At 35.1% G+C, this 17,218-nt stretch overlaps 1 protein-coding gene across 18 annotated transcripts in view, besides 1 other annotated feature; it reads right to left on the bottom strand.

Moving 5' to 3' along the window:
• PRDM5 (PR/SET domain 5) overlaps positions 1 to 17,218 on the bottom strand; it is a 238,436-nt gene that overhangs the window by 3,099 nt on the left and 218,119 nt on the right. For 10 of the 18 annotated variants that reach the window (NM_001300824.2, NM_001379106.1, NM_001300823.2 and 7 more), the window contains one exon: positions 4,526 to 7,886. The exons of 3 other annotated variants lie outside the window; for them this stretch is intronic. Coding sequence is in view for 11 of the 15 variants with exons in the window: in NM_001379106.1 (NP_001366035.1) it covers positions 7,722 to 7,886 (165 nt within the window). In the remaining 4 variants the exon portion in view is untranslated. Of the gene's footprint in view, positions 1 to 4,525; positions 7,887 to 10,286; positions 10,451 to 17,218 lie in introns of those variants that run through there. 5 more of the 18 variants (XM_047449555.1, XM_011531565.3, XM_011531568.3 and 2 more) reach the window with 5 other exon arrangements.
• Positions 14,409 to 14,578: an enhancer, noted in NCBI's record as "experimental_72528 CRE fragment used in MPRA reporter constructs". NCBI's record gives its function as "activates a minimal promoter by MPRAs in K562 erythroleukemia cells, with activity observed for both the introgressed and non-introgressed 4:121623038 variant alleles {active_cell/tissue: K562}" and the evidence as "EXISTENCE:reporter gene assay evidence [ECO:0000049][PMID:34662402]".

Consider the following 17,218-nt stretch of genomic DNA (forward strand, 5'->3'; position numbering starts at 1 on the left):
TTTTTCTAACTGGCTTATTTCATTTAGCATAATGTCCTCAAGTTTCCATGTTGTAGCATATGAAATTATTTCTTTCTTTTGTAATGCTAAATATTATTCCATTGTAGGTGTACATGAAATTTTCTTTATCCATTCATCCACTGATGAACATTTAGGCTACATCTACCTCTTGATACTGTGAATAATGCTACAATGTGTTCAAATATCTCTTTGAAATCCAGTTCTCAATTCTTTGGGATAATACTACGGTTTGAATCTTTGTCCCCTCTCAAATTCATGTTGAAATTTAGTTGCCATTGTAACAGTATTAAGAGGTGGGACTTTTAGAAGGTGATTAGGTCATGAGCGCTCTGCCCTTATGAGTGAATTAATGCCACTATTGTGAGAATAGTTTCCTTATAAAAGGATGAGTTCAATCCCCTTTTCTCTTGTGCCCTTTCACCTTCCGCTATGGAATGACACAACAATAACATCCTTGCCAGTGCTTGCACTTTGATCTTGGACTTCCCGACATCCAGAACTGTGAGCAATACATTTTCATCCATTATAAATTATCAAGTCTTAGGTATTATGATATAGCAGCACAAAATGGACTAATACAGATTAGTAACAAGAAGTGGGTTTGCTGGATCATACGGTCTTTTTATTTTTTTCAGAAATGTCCATATTGTTTCCCATAGTGGCTGTACCATTTTACATTCCCACCTATAGTGCACAGTGCTTTCCATTTCTTTACATCCTCATCAATGGTTGTTATATTTTCTTTTTCTTGAAGTGGCCATTCTAATTGGTGTGAGGTGACACTTCATAGTGGTTTTGATTTGCATTTCACTGGTGATTAGTAATGTTGAACATGTTTTTGTATGCTTTTTTTTTTGGCCATTTATCTTCTTTGGATAAATGTCTACTCAAGTCCTTTGTCCATTTTTCAATTGGGTTGTTTTTTATTGTTGTTGAGTTGTAGGAATTTTTAACATATTTTGGATATTAACTTGTTAACAGATACATGGTTTGCAAATGTTTTCTCCCATTGCATAGGTTGCTTCTCACTCTGATTATTTCATTTGTTGTGCAGAAGTTTTTAAGTTTGATGTAGTTCCATTTGTCTATTTTTGCTTTTGTTGTCTTTGCTTTTGGTGTCCTATCCAAGAAATCATTGCCAGATATGATGCCATAAAGCATTTTCCCCCATATTTCTTTCTAGTTTTAAAGTTTTGGGTTTTACATTTAGATCTTCAATCCATTTTGAGTTAATTTTTGTATATGGTGTAAGGCTCCAACTTCTTTTTTTACATGTGGATATCTAGTTTTCCTAATACCATTTATTGAAGAGACTATCTTTTCCCACTGTGTAGTCTTAGCTCTCTTGTTAAAGATCATTTAGCTGTATACATGAAGGTTTACTTCTATGCTGTCTATTCTGTTCCATTGGCCTGTACATATCTGTTTTTATGCCAGTAAAAACTGGCATAAATACTGTTTTGATGACAGTAATTTTGTAATACGTTTTGAAATCAGGATGTGTGAAGCTTCCAGCTTTGTTCTTTCTCAGGATTGTTTTGGCTTATAGAACATATATTTTGTATTCCTCGTTTCATTCTAGTGACTCTGTGCCATCCATATACCCCCTTTATCTAGATCTGTGGTAAACAACAAGTCATCTGCCCTTTACTGCACTGATGCAACTCGGGTCAGATCTGTAGCTTAGAAAACTGTGGAATAGTTTTTATCAGGATAAAGCCAACTGGCTCAACTCACATACTTAGTCTAATAGTATCTTAACCAGCTAAATTTGTAGACCCCAATTTCATATTTTAGTCAGAGCAGAAAGGAAACAATTTAATATCCTAAATATCATAATTTGAGTCCAGGAACAAAACCAGCTTGTCACTCTTAAAAGGGTAGAACTGGAGACTACACCAGTTATACTGCAGCTGAAACAACATAAGAGATGGATTTTATGCGAGGAGAGAAGGAAAGAATGAAAGTGATACAGTTGTACTTGACCCTGCTTTATATTCTTTTTTTTTTCTGGATAAAGCTATGCACTGTGTTTGTCAGGTGGAAGATGAGCAGCAAACAATTATTTTACTTATGTGGTGAGCCTTTTGATTAGAAGTAAGGTCTAGAGAAGATTTCCTACATTTCAGTAATAAAACTAGACAAGTCAAAAGTAATGATTGATTTCCACTAGTTAGATTTTCAAAATTCTTTTTTTTTTTTTTCTTTTTTCTTGAGACAGGGTTTCGCTCTGTTGCCCAGGCTGGAGTGCAGTGGTGCAATCTTGGCTCACTGCTACTTCCGCCTCCAGGGTTCAAGCAATCCTCCTGCTTCAGCTGAGTAGCTGAGATTACAGGCAAGATTACAGGTGCGTGCCACCACACCCAGCTAATTTTTGTATTTTTGGTAGAGATGGGGTTTCGCCATGTTGCACAGGCTGTTGTCGAACTCCTGGGCTCAAGTGATCTGCCTAACTTGGCCTCCCAAAGTGCTGGGAATACAGGCATGAGCCACCGTGTCCAGCCTCAAAATTCTTAATTACTACATGTAGTAATCCACAAAAGGACCCATCAGTTTGCCAATTTAAATAAAAGTGTTATAATCAATTAAATGTCACATTGCTCCCCATCTCCATACTCTTTATATGCCTACACAGAATGAGAACTATATAGTTTGCTCACATGTCATTAACATTTAGTTTCCAACCAGTTTTCATCCATTAAAGGCAATTTTGGTTCTTCAGATGCTAATAATTACTTTAGAAAATAAAAAGTATAGAGTTGGGGTCAATGTACTTCATGTTTTTATGTATTTATCAGATACTAAGGAATGAATAGATAATATATTGTTTTAACACTAATTCCAATAATGAACTCATTCAGCTTTAAATGTATTACTATACATGTGTCCAGATAAATTTCATATGCTACGTATGAAGCACCAGATTTCTCTTTGAGAAGGGCCTCCAATACAAGCTCAGGCCACCATCCAAATGAGGCAAGATGAGACAGTGAGAAAGGCAGGACAAAGCCATCATCGCGGACTGAAAAGCACTCAATTCAGTGCTGTCAGACAGGATAAAAAATAAGAAATCTTAACATCAGTTCATTTAAAAAATGTAAAATTTTCATATAATCACAGAAAAGTTTTCAGTAGAAAAATGAAAAAAGATATGCCAGTCAAACATTAAAGAAAAAGATATCAGATAAAATTAAGGAAAGAAAGCATTATTAGATAGTCTGTAAGAAGACAAAATCAAAAAATAGTAATGGAGTGATTCACGTATCCATTGTGAGCTGGGACTCTCTTCATTTTTATACTATTTTAAAGAGATAAATTGATATTTTTTGAATTTTTTAAGTGTAGCTAATTCCTAGTAGGTCTACAGTTTCCCTTGTCAGGAGCAGTGATATTTTGTTTGAACTGTTTTGCATTGATTTAGATGATCAAGCTTCAGTGGTCCTATATGCTTTCTTAATTTTAAACATATGCATTATTGATATAATTTAACATCTTAGATTAGTTTCCTCCTACCATGTAGTATGCTAAGGTGGCATGGGTTCAAGGACTAAGACCTTATTCTAATTGGCTAAAAGTTTGCATTATTAGGAAGCTAAACATGCTAATCAAATATTTAGGTAACTAAATATATGTTTTAATTTCAGGAAATTAAATACTATATATTTTCTAACTAAATATGAACATTTGTTTCAGTATTGTGTTAAGAATTTTTTTAAAAAAGGAAGAAGAGGAATTTGGACATTGCATCTGCAGCACTATTTTAGTATATAAGTAGTTGTTACATTCCAGACTATTTCCTGGGCCTAGAATATCTAGAATATTTTAACATGCCCACAATGAAGGCTCCAGAGTTAATTTTTTATTCTGTCATACAACAAATTAACAATGTGTAGAGTGATAATACAGTTTTAAGCCCAAGCTAGCTAAGGCTATGAGTCAGCTCCAAAGAACTAGTGCCTCAGCTGATTCTGAAAAATCAAAGTTAAATGAATGCATAATTTCTAAATCCACTACTCAGATGATTATTTTTTGTATCAAGAAAATCTCACAAGATTGGGGCAACATCAAAATGATAAACATAAATTTAAAATAAAAGGAATACCTGAAACATTTGCCATAACTTTTATTACCCTTAAATTATATTTGTGAGCATCAAGTTATTTTTACTTAAGATGCTACTAATCAGGTTTCATTCATTCTTAGTTACCAGGTTTCATTCATTCTTAGTGATGATCCTTTTCACATTGTTCTTTGTATAACCAGGAATGAGAAGAGAGGCAAGGAAAATATCTCTTATAGCCCTGAGACCAACTTGGCTCAACTTCAGAGGTACTTTGCAGATTGAGAAACACTTGGATGTATAAAGTATAAAAGCATGAGGTCTGGAGGTAATGGCAATTACATTTCTTTCATTCATCAAAAACAACTTTAAAGCAATTCATTTGGATTTTACCATAGAATGGTACCATAGTTCTATAGTAAAATAAAATGCTAACACCAAGTCTGGTAGTGATTTATATATATTTATTATAGATTTATAATAAAATAAAAAATGCTATTGGAATTCTATATTTACACATGCTCCATTTATATACACGCAAACAAATGTCAATATCAATGGTAAAATTTTAGGATTTTAAAGAGGCACATTTCCTCCTACCTACCCACTTCCACATATTCATTACTCTAAGATGAGTTTTCATAAGCAACATTTAGATTTGTGAAGGAAAAAAATGAATATTTCTAGTACTTATCCTCTTTCCTTTCATGCTTTTGTTTGAGAAAGGAAGCAGCACATAAAATCTAAAACAGAAACTAAGGCTGTAAGACCTTCTGTAATACATGTTCACACTCATGCATGAGTTGACTGTAATAGGTCAGAAGATATTTGAGCAAAGTAATGCACTTACATGTATATGCACTGCATATAAGTGATACTCTTCAGACACACACACACAGACACACACACTCATGTTTCTTGAAAATAACATGTTAACTATACTATGTAACCCCAAGAATTTATCACCAAGAATACTTCCATGGTGCAACTGCTGATTATAATTTACCAATAAATGCCTCTATATAGCCAACAACACACCATGAAAAGGAAAACAAAAGCCAGTTATTGTGAAACAAAGGCAAATTAAAGATACACAAACATCTTGAGTGTTAATATACTAAGAAGACAGTTATTATAAAAGGGTATCTGAACCCACCTACATTATTGAACGTCTCTTAAATTTACTTAGCCAATTTCTAAGTCTCAATTACTTAGACTTTATAGGCACCTAAGGGTCTGGTCTTTTCTCAAGAAAATACCCCAGCCAAAATCTTTCACAGCAGGAAACAGAAGACATTTCAAAGTAGGTACCTGTACTTCAGCTTGTCTGTAAGACTTTTCCTTATGATTATCTATGCTTTCAATTGATCAATCATGCCTAAAATAGTGTCTTTTTTTGGTTATTACTAAGTAATTTAAAAGTTTTAGCAAGCAAATGCTAATATATCTGAAACTACCCATGAATACTTGTCTTTTGGATAAAAATTTACAGCATACAAATAGTCTACTAAGGACTTGTTTTGGTTTCAGTCCTCTGAAAGGAGAGAGTGGTGTACCACTCTCTGGTGTAGGTCCTTCTACACCATTTTCTAAAGATTTCCATGTCTATAAACCTTCAGCAGGATAAAGCCCAGCACCTCTTGCCTGTCTGTTTACTCCACAGCATAGCGACACCACAGTTTTCAGGGTAATTTCCCCAGCAGCCATGTGAACTGTGACTCACTGAGATTACACAAAATTGGAATTTGGACTCCTTTCAAGTTTTACATTCATCACATAATCGGGATATAAAGCATCCCATATAGAGAAAGCAGCATTCAAAGAAATATACAGGATGTGCTTAAATAATACACACTATCAAATTTTACAGCTGTCTTTTTATATTCAAATGATATTAAACACACTATCATATTAAAATGAAAACACTTTAGATCTAAAAATATATTGTTGAAACAAATGATATAGTGAGAAACAAGACCAAAATTTATTTTTATAAAATACAGTCTATAATTTCAGATTCAAAATACTACATATAACTATACTTAAATATCTTCTAAACTATAATTTTAGGATTTATGTTTTTAAAAGTTATCTCTTCTGAGTTTCAAATTTAGTATTTTACAACATTCAAATGTCTACATTGAATCTTTATGTTTCTTTTTAAAACTGGAACTGGGCATGAATATAATTCTAAAATGAGATTCCTGAAGTCAAAGAACTGTGTCTCAGATAACCTTTCTCCTTAACTCATTAGAACCAAATAACTTCCTTAAAACTATACTTCCTTTCTTTTGACTGGGCTTCAGTTAGAGAGGTTCATGAGTTGGGCTTCATTTTAACGTTTTTCTGGTTTTTGGATATTCCTCCAGGTTATTTTGACATCACTATTACATTGTATCATATCATCTCTCCAAACAAGCTGTTCATTGTATGTTGCTGTCAAGTATTTTGCTGAAATATAACCTAAAGGAAGAAATTATGCTTCTTGCTTCAATTTCCCTTAAGCATCAGTGACAGTTTCAATCATAACAATTGCCAAGTTTGTACTTTGTATTCTGGATTCCTAATTATATGGGATGATTGAAGGTAATTCAAAAGTGTTTCAGAATTACCTACTGCCAAGATTCTGGAAAATGTCTTTTGCAAAATGGAATGTTAATGTTCTGAGGACTGTATCTGCACTAACATGTTCTGTGCACTTTTATGGAAGGAGAGGGGAAAGGGCTATGTTCATCCTAACAAATGTGGAGATGCCACTATTGTTCTGCCACTCTGTTGCCAAATACAGAGAATCTATTTGGTTTCTATTTTTAATTATATATATTGGTATACTGTTAATTTCTAAAGCTAAATGGTCTAAATTCAAGAGGGGTAGCCTGCTGAATATTTAAATGTGATGGTCATTTTTGTGTAGAACTTATAAAAGTATTCCAGACCATGAATGTCTGCATCTGAATGATGAGAATAAATAATGTTTCCTAAGAATCCTCTAAAATGAGCAATATTTTAATAGATGTTTTAGTTATCAAATATCTATTTTAAACTCATTTGTTGCACAGAGCTATTAGATAAGCTCAGCTCTTGGTTTGTCTTATAAAATAGCAACTATTTATTTTCCTATCAAACTTGAGACTTTGATAACTTATTCTTATCCTCATCTGCAAAGAAATAGTTGGATATCTTGATTTATTTCTATTTAAATTGGTAAAACCAGCTGCAACAACTGGCATTTGCAAGTGAGTGCACACACACAGACACATACAGACACACAGACACACAGACACACAAAGAATAACAATAAAATAAAAAGGCCTATTAGGGAAGTATATTATAAACTTCATTACAGAGGGATGGCCAAGAAAGAGAGCCATGACTCCTTTCTCCATTTTTATAAGACAGAGCACAAGTTGCATTTTGCAAGGCTATGGAGTTGTATTTTTTTTCCATTTATACCATTTCTTGTTAAAAGTAAGACTTTTTTTTGGTTGCATATGCATCTACAGACTCTAAATGTAGGCAAATAAGAACTATGAGACCAGTAAGTCACTTTTGGCTACTTCTGTTATGCTGATCAGGTGATAAAAATCTGGGATTCATATTAGGAGCCCTTCTGAATAGTTTAATTCCTTTACAGCCCCTATTAGCTGTCAGCTACACCATGGATATTGTCCATGTGCACTTTGAGGTAGTCATTCCTTGTAAACTTCTTATGGCAAAACTGGCATTCTGCCAGGGGACGATTGGGATTATGAGTCATCTTGTGTCGAATCAGCATTTTCTTCAGGCTAAAAGCCAAATCACAAACCTAGAAAAGACCCAAAGACCAACCATATTATACTGAAATAAACAAAATTTATAAACAAAATTTAACACTCACACTATTGGCAAAGAAAATTAATAAGTTACTGCATTTAATCGGTGTCCTTTGTACCCGAGTCACCCTTCCCTTTTCCCAGCTGCTGGATTTAAACATTTCCAGTGAAACAACTCCCTGGCAACAATACCTTTCTTATCCTAATGGAATGTATTTGCCATTTCATATTAAACTATTTAAGCAAAATGCTTTACGGTCTAGATGGCATCTCTCTCTATAACATAAATGGCATAAGACATTTCTCAGCAGTGATCCCTTCAGTTTAGTACCACTTGTGAAATAAAAAGCTAATGCTGTTTTAAGTATCATAAGCAGAAATTTATTACACACTATTTCTTTTTTCTATTTCTTATTATATACACTTTGTTTAACTAAGGAAGGTAACAAGTTTATTTCATATGAGCTCTGCCACATTCCCACCTGGCTCAACATGCATTAAACAGCCCCATAACTAAAAATATTAACACAGAAAATGCAAGGCACAACTGTCCAAGTTACCAAAAAAAATGGAGTTTAAAGTTTGATGTTATTCAGAAAAATTCCACTGACATGAAACTCTTCAAAATCATATCCGTTGTGAAATAAGACATGTTAAATAATGTGAAAACACCATGAAAAATATAATGAGAGAGGAAATGGCTTGTAAAAATACTGTAAAGAAAGCTGGAGTTTTAATTGAGGTTAGGCTTGGGAAAACCTTACACTGAAACAAAACAAAACAAAAAATCCTTGCCCTCTTTCTTTACGGAGGAAAGAAGATTTACATTCACAGCAATAAGAAACTCAGAAAGGCTCAGGGCCCTAATTGGGTAAGAAGGGGGTAATCCAATAATAATGAATTTTGACACAGAAGTAGCAGCATAGTGTGGTATAAAGAAAATAAGCTTTAGAGTCTGATCACTTTCCAAGGAAGCCTGCTCTGACCTCCCAATTTAAAACTGAAATCTGTCATCCTTTCTGGATTCCCTTTACTCTGTTCAAATTTACTTTTTACACAGTACCTGTCACTTTCTGTCCCACTGTAATTTACCTACTCTCTTGTTTAGTGTCTCTCTCTACTCACTAGAGTCTCAGCTCCATGAGAGCAGGGATCTTCATATACTTTATTCCCTTATGTCCCCTAAAGGGTACAACAATTTCTGTAAAGTAAGCACTCAATAAGTATTTGTTGAAGAACCACCTGGAATTCTGACTCTACTATTTACTAAGGAAATTAAATGACCAAGTATGCCTTTTAAATTTAGTTTCCTCACCTGTAAAATGACAATGTATTTACCTTGCAGGATTATTAAGATTAAATAAAATACTCTGTGTAAATAAGGGCTATACTGCAGACACTCAATAAATGTCAGTGTACATTTTTTTTTTCTCTTTCATCTTCCTCAGCAGATTGGAAAGAATAGACAAATGTTAATGAGAGGGAGGCAAGGCCAGCACAAGTGGAATAGAAAGAAAACACCACTGTTCTAAAGAGTGGCAGTCCCCTGGAATATACAAGTGACTTTGCAAACAAATAATTTCCCAAAACAATAAAATGCAGCCAATTTATCTCAGGAAATGACATTTTCTTTTGGAATAGCTTGTAAGCATAAGGTTTGTAACTCAATACCTTTGAGGCAACTGCAAAACAAAGCCAAGTCCATGTTGCAAAAATCAGAGGAAAAGGGTAAAGACCCAGGAAACATGCAACAGCATAGCATATGATGACAGACTACAAAGTATATAAATTATAATAATCAATATAAAAGTATTAAGTACCCTTATTAAAAGATAAGACTCAATTAGGGTAAAAAGCAAAATGCAAACACACGCATACTGTACTTGAGAAATACATTTACAAAAAATAACACATACACAAACACTATTTTAAGAGAGGGATTAGAATGTGCATGAAAGTGTACAAAATGAGGCTGATAGAGTGTAATGGGTACTAAGTAGTACTTCCTCAGAAGAATCTTGGATAGACAGAGAGAGAGCAAGCCTTTGAAGAACCAGGAGTATCACTTGTATGACTGTCTCCTAGTCAAAGATTTATATACATGATGCTCATACAGAATCATATATAAAAGTGAAAATTACAAATGACTTATTTGGCCAATTAAAATTAATAAGCATATTCATTTTGATATAATCAGATTTAGAAATATTTTTCAGCTGTTAAAAATATTAATCTTTTTTTTTTTTGAGTCAAGATGTCGCTGTCACCCATGCTGGAGTGCAGTGGCATTAATCTTGGTTCACTGCAGCCTCGACCTCCCTCGACTCACATTTTAGCCTCTGGAGAAGCTGGGACTACAGGCCAGATGCCACCATGCCCAGCTAACTATTTTTTTTTTTTTTTTTTTTTTGTATTTTTTACCTATGAGATTTTACCATGTTGCTCAGGCTGATCTCATACTATTGGGCTCAAGGGATCCTTCTGCCTCAGTCTCCGAAAGTGCTGGGAAAACAGATGTGAGCTACCACATCCAGCCGAGATTGTAATTTCAAAAATACTTAAAGGCAAGAAGAAACATAGAGAAAAGAAAGCAGAATAATAAGATCAAGGCAACTTAGTCGACAATACTCAAATAAAAATTATAACTATCTGTATTAATAAGTATACAAATAAAATAAAATAAAAAAAAAGAAAATGTCAATAGATTAATATTAATATTAGCTGACATTGGTTGGAAAATTGGGAATCATTTTATTTGTCTTCTTTTGTCTCCATATTTCCTCATTCTTCTCTAATTAAAAAGTACATTTTTATAACCAGAAAGCAAATATTATTTTGGAATGAAAAAATGCAGTTAGTTGGGTGATGGTTCCATGTTCACTTAAGCAGCAAGTCCACTCACATCAGACTTCTGCCTTGGACTTCTTAACTCTCCAAACAGCTCTCTGAAATGTTATGGATAATCTCTACATTGCCAAATCCTGGCACTTTTGAGCCCTCATTTAACATGAATTCTTAGCATCATTTGACATGCCTTTCCCCTGTCATTCCTTTAGTTTCTATAATGATCTACTCTCCTTGTTTTCCTTCTAATTATCTGGCCTTTTATTCCCCTTTATTTTCCGGAATAGGCCCTTCCTCCATCCTAACTAAGTCAGTCAGGATTTCAGTGCCCAATCCTTGGCTTTCTTCTCCATTCACTAGGTATTTTCTCCTCTGGTGATCTTAATCGTATTCATACCTTTTGTTACCACATATATGGAGATCACTAGCAAGTAATATTTTTAGTCCAGTCCCCCTTCTGATCTCAACAGTGGAGTACTTAACTGACCACTTGGATAGTTCACTGGTACTCCAAACTTACTATGTCTAAAACTGAACTCAGAATTCTTGTCTTTCAAACCTAAGTCTCAAAAAATGGTCCGACCCTCCACCTGGTTTGACTGTAAATGTGGCAGTCAACCTTCACCCAATGTCTCACTCTTCCTCATCTGATCTAATCAATTACAAAGTTCCACCGGTTCTTCTTTGCACATTTTTCTCAAAGACATGAAGACATCTAATCGTCTCCATCTCCACTGCCACCACCTTAGTCAGAGACACTGTTTACTCAGACCAGTGCTTCTCTTTCACTAAGAAAATGTTTCAGCATGCAACTGTAGTATCTGTATTTTTAAATAAAACATACACATGTACTACTGTATTTATATATTATATTAAAGACAGACAAAATTTTGAGGATAAAGACAAAATAAATATTTTAATGCTAAATTAATATTTATGGCTTTATATTTTCACTAGACAAGATTTTAAGATGGGATACATATTTAGGGCCAAAGTCATCTTTAACAAATGTATAGGCAATTATAGGAAATATAAATATATATATATATATATATATATATATATATATATATATATATTTCAGATGTCTCCTTAATAATTTCCATTTTTGGCTTACTTCTCATCACATATGATGATGTCATTATATTTTATCTCAAATTGCTACTGACTAGTAGTATTAACTCTGCTTTCTTTTTGTTATCTTGTGTTTGTATCATTATTATTTTCAATCTGCATTTCTGTACAGGCTTCTTTTAGCAACTTGTTCATTTTGTAAGCATTACTTTATTTAAAAACAGATAATATAATTCTTATCTCTGTTAGCCCAAGAGACACAAACTGCAATCCTAACAGTGCCCTGAAAGCAAACAAGTGCCTTGGGACTGTCAGCCAACCAGCACCAACATGGAATTGGCGTTCTTCCCTTTGATCACATGTGATACTGCACCTCATAAGAGACCAGCCAGCAGTGCCCAAGCCAGGGCACCAAAGTCAAATCATCTGTTTAATGATAATAAAGTTTAACTGTGTTCCTGTTTTTAAAATAGCCACATACAAAAAGTACTTAGGAATACATCTAACCAAGGTGGTGAAAGATCTCTACAAGTAGAACTACAGACACTGCTAAAAGAAATCACAGATGATACAAAGAAATGGGAAAATATTTCATGCTTAGAGATTGGAAGAATCAATATCATTAAAATGGCCATACTGCTCAAAGCAATCTACAGACTCAATGCCATTACTATCAAATATCAAACAACCAATATCATTTTCCACAGAACTAGAAAAAACTATTCTAAAATTTATATAGAACCAAAATAAATAAATAAATAAATAAATAAAAAGCCCAAATAGCCAAAGCAATCCTAAGCAAAAAGAACAAAGCTGGAGGCATCACATTACCCAATTTCAAACTATACTATAAGGCTACAGTAACCAAAACAGCAGGATGCTAGTACAAAATCAGACACATACACCAATGCAACAGAGTACAGAAGCCAAAAATAAAGTCACACACCTACAGCCATCTGATCTTTGACAAGGTTGACAAAAATAAGCAACAGGAAAAGGGCTCCCTACTCAATAAACACCTATTCAATAAGCACTGGGATATTGGCTAGCCATATGCAGACAAATGACACTGGATTCCTACCTTTCAACATATACAAAAATTAACTTTAAGATGAATTAAAGATTTAAATGTAAGAGCTCAAACTATAAAAATCCTAGAAGAAAACCTAGGAAACACCATTCTGGACAGAAGTCTTGGGAAATAATTTACGACTAAATTCTCAAAAGCAGTTGCAACAAAACAAAAAATTCACAAGTGAAACCTAATAAAACTAAAGAGCTCTGCATAGCAAAACAATCAATAAAATAAACAGACAACTGACAGAATGAGAAAATATTCACAAACTGTATCCAACAGTTCTAATGTCCAGAATCTGTAAGGAAATTAAACAATTGAATAAGCAAAAAACAGCCCCATTAAAAAATGCAACTAATATCTGTATTTTTAAATAAAACATATATATGCACTACTGTATTTATATATTATTGCAAGAGACATTCACAGACACTTCTCAAAAGAAGACATATAAGTGGATACAAACATGAAAAAATGCTCATAATCACTGATCATCAGATAAATGCATATCAAAACCACAATGCGATATTATCTCACACTAGTCAGAATGGCTATTGTTAACAAGTCAGCCAGGCATGGTGGCTCACATCTATAATCCCAGCACTTTGGAAGGCCAAGGTGGGCGGATCACCTGACGTTAGGAGATCGAGACCAGCCTGACCAATATGGAGAAACCCTGTCTCTACTACAAATACAAAAATTAGCTGGGTGCGGTGGCGGGTGCCTGTAGTCCCAGCTAGTCGGGAGGCTGAGACAGGAGAATTGCTTGAACCTGGGAGGCGGAGGTTGCAGTGAGCCAAGATTGTGCCACTGAACTCCAGCCTGGGCGACAGAGCAAGACTCTGTTGCAACAAACAAAAACAAAAAACAAACAAAAAAAAAAGAGGTAAAAAAAAAACAACAGATGCTGGTGAGGCTGCAGAGAAAAGGGAATGCTTATACACTGTTGGAGGGAATGTAAATTAGTTCAACCACTGTGAAAAACAGTCTGGAGATTTCTAAAAGAACTTAAAACAGAACTACCATTCGATCTAGTAATCCCATTCATTACTGGGTATATATGCAAAAGAAAACAAATCATTTTACCAAAAAGACATATGCACTTGCATGTTCATTGAAGAACTATTCACAATAGCAGAGACATGGAATCAACCTAGGTGCCATGAACAGTGGACTGGATAAAGAAAATGTGGTGCATATACACCATGGAATACTATGCAGCTATAAAAAAAGAATGAAATCATGTCCTTTGTAGCAACATGGATGCAGCTGGGGGCCACTATCCTAAGTGAATTAATACAGGAACAGAAAACCAAATACTGCATATTCTCTTATAAGTGGGAGCTAAACATTAACATAAAGGTGGTAACAATAGCGACTGGGGACTAGTAGAGCAGAGAAGGAGGGGAGGAGATAAGGGTTGAAAAACTACTGGGTACTATGCTCAGTACCTGGCTGATGGGATCATTCACACCTAAAACCTCAGTATCATGCAATATACCCATGTACAACAAACCTGCAGATGTACTCTCTGAATCTAAAATAGAAATTGAAAAAAAAATGGGAATCAAAGAGGTAATTTTTTCTTCCCATATTCCAATGGATGTCATGTATGCCTGCTGCAATATACATCTCTTCACTCTGAAAACTAAAGCCTAGATTATTGCAATAGCCAGCTTCATCATCCTCAAATAGAGGTGGTACAACTTCCCCTCTCTGCAGGAAATGTTTGGAATTGTGGGGGGTATCTCACTGTCTCAACAAATGGGGAATATTACTTGCATTTTGCATAGGGGCAAGCATGCAAGTAATGCCTTCTAATGTGCAGGACACGCTCATACAAGCCAAAAGTAACCCACTGCTAAATACTTTCTGAATCTCTCTGCATTCCTCCTCATCCTCTCCAGTCCATGCTTCACATAACAGTTGAAATGACTTTTTGAAAACACAAATGTCACAATATTACCTAAAATTGTTCCATGGTGTTTTGCTACTTGTAAGGTAATCACTGAGCTCTAGCCAAACTAAACAGGCCTCCTCTAGGTTCTTGAAGAAACCATTGGGCTTCCTGCCTCAGAACTTTCTCGCTTCTCTTTACCCAGCTTACTCCTACTCATCCTTAGGAAGCCCACGTGACACATCTGCCAGGTGATGGTTGGTCTCTGTTAAATGCTCTCATAGCGGCCTTTACTTTTCCTTAACAACACTTTCCTCAAGTGTCATTCATGATTTGCGTTATTTTTTTATGTCTGTCTCCTTGCTAAACTAAGGAACATGAGGGCAAGAGTAGCCACTACATAAAAATTTCTTGAATTAAAGGAAGAAATAATGGTTGATAGATTCAATGATTGATTGATTAAATCTCTATGGACAATATAAGTACCCCCAAAGACTGCAGAATAATCCTGGAGAAATTGAAGAAAGTATCAATGGAGAGTATTTTCAAGTGAAAGAAATGCTAAATTGTTTTTATAAGTATATATTCAAATTCATAATCATAAAGAAGATCGATTTAACATTTATTCCCATGTTCTATTTCTCTCGCCCCTTCTCCAAACCCAATGTCACCATAAACAACTGATACCAAATTCTTCAATGGCTTCTTATTAAAATTAGATTCACAATACATTTCCTAACTTGGCTGCAAAGCCTCCAATTCTCTTTTTTACTTCACCCTGCATCCCTCTCTTTCTCTCACTGTGCTCCATCTCCACCAGCCTTCTCTTTCCCCCATGCCCATTCCCAGCCTCAATTCATGCTGTTGCTCTCCTGAAATGCTCTTTTCCCTATGGCTGATTCTTCTCATCTTTTAGGTTACTTATAGCCTCATGGCTTTTTTCTTCCTTCTCTTTCCCAGTCTTTATCATGAATTGTAATTGCATGTTAATTCATGTATTTTGTTTTTTGTTTTGTTTTTGTTTTTCTCTGGAGACACGGTGTCTCTCTGTCACCCAGGCTGGAGTGCAGTGGTCTGATCATAGCTCACTGCAGCCTTGAATTCCTAGGCTCAAGCAATCCTCCCACCTCAGCCTTCTGAATAGCTGAGACTACAAGTGTGTGCCGCCATGCCAGCTAATTTTTTATTTTTGTTTTTTGTAAACATGGAGTCTTGCTATGTTGCCCAGATTGGTCTTGAACTCCTGGGCTTAAACGATCCTCCTGCCTCGGCCTCCCAAAGTGCTGGGATGATAGGCATGAGTCACCATGCCTGGTCTCATGTATTTGTTTAATGCTATACTCTACAAGAATGTGAGTTCTATGAGGGCAGGACATGGCATCTTCTACTATTTCATCCCAGTGTCCAGCACAGGGCCTAGGCTTAACTATCTTACAACTTTCACCATGTTCCAGGAGCCACTCTTAGCAATTTCTAAATATTAACTTGCTCAATCCTCACAGTCATGCTTTTAAGTAGATATTAGTATTACTATTAAACCCATTTTACAGAAGAAAATGAACACACAAAAGGTTACCTAGGTTTCCCAGGTTCAAAGAACTAGGTGGTGTTTCCAGAATTTAAACCCAGACAGTCTGGGTTCAGAGTCTATCCTCCCTCCCAAGGGCCAACTATTACTAAAATATCTCATTTCAAACAGAGATATGTGAGCTCACCCTACTTTTTCCATTTGCCTGGCTGACACCATTAAAAATATATATAAAAACCACTGTGAAAATGTAAGAAAGGTTCTCAGACAGTTCAGCTTGCCACTGTGGTGGGAGGGATACAAAGTGCAAGTCCATTTACACAGTTACCATGGGAAAATGAGAGCAATGGCAAGCTGGAAAAAACGGAAAGGAAGTTGAGCAAGATGCTGAAATCATTGATAATGGGTCTGAATTAAGGAAGTCCTAGAAGCTCCACACTAGGGATGAGATGGGAACACTCCAACAGCTTGCTGAATGAGAGCCAGAGTACAGGATTAAATATCAGGAGAGAGTACCTGATGTCACAGTTGTAAAACTGACTACCCAGACATTAAAAGCTGTTTTCATGAACCTGAATGCAGTCAGTAAAAGACTCCAAATGATGCTCTGTATAAATCAGCCAAATTCAAGAACTTTCATTTTACAAACAGGGGAGAGCAAAAACTAGTTCAAGTAGTACAACACGGATGCTTCCTTTTCTTTCCATCTGTGATTCGTATCCAAACTTTCACCCTACTCCAACTTAGGAGTGCATTAGGAAAATATTTATTCTTACTCTAGACTGGAGGTAAACTGATTTTGTTTTAAAATAAAGTGAAATAAGATATTTAACAGAAAGCACCTAAATTCTAGATAAGTATCTTCAGTTAACACATACTTATCACATACAATGTGCCTACCACTTCT

The sequence above is a fragment of the Homo sapiens genome, chromosome 4 (assembly GCF_000001405.40).
Source record: "Homo sapiens chromosome 4, GRCh38.p14 Primary Assembly".
Lineage (NCBI taxonomy): Eukaryota > Metazoa > Chordata > Mammalia > Primates > Hominidae > Homo > Homo sapiens.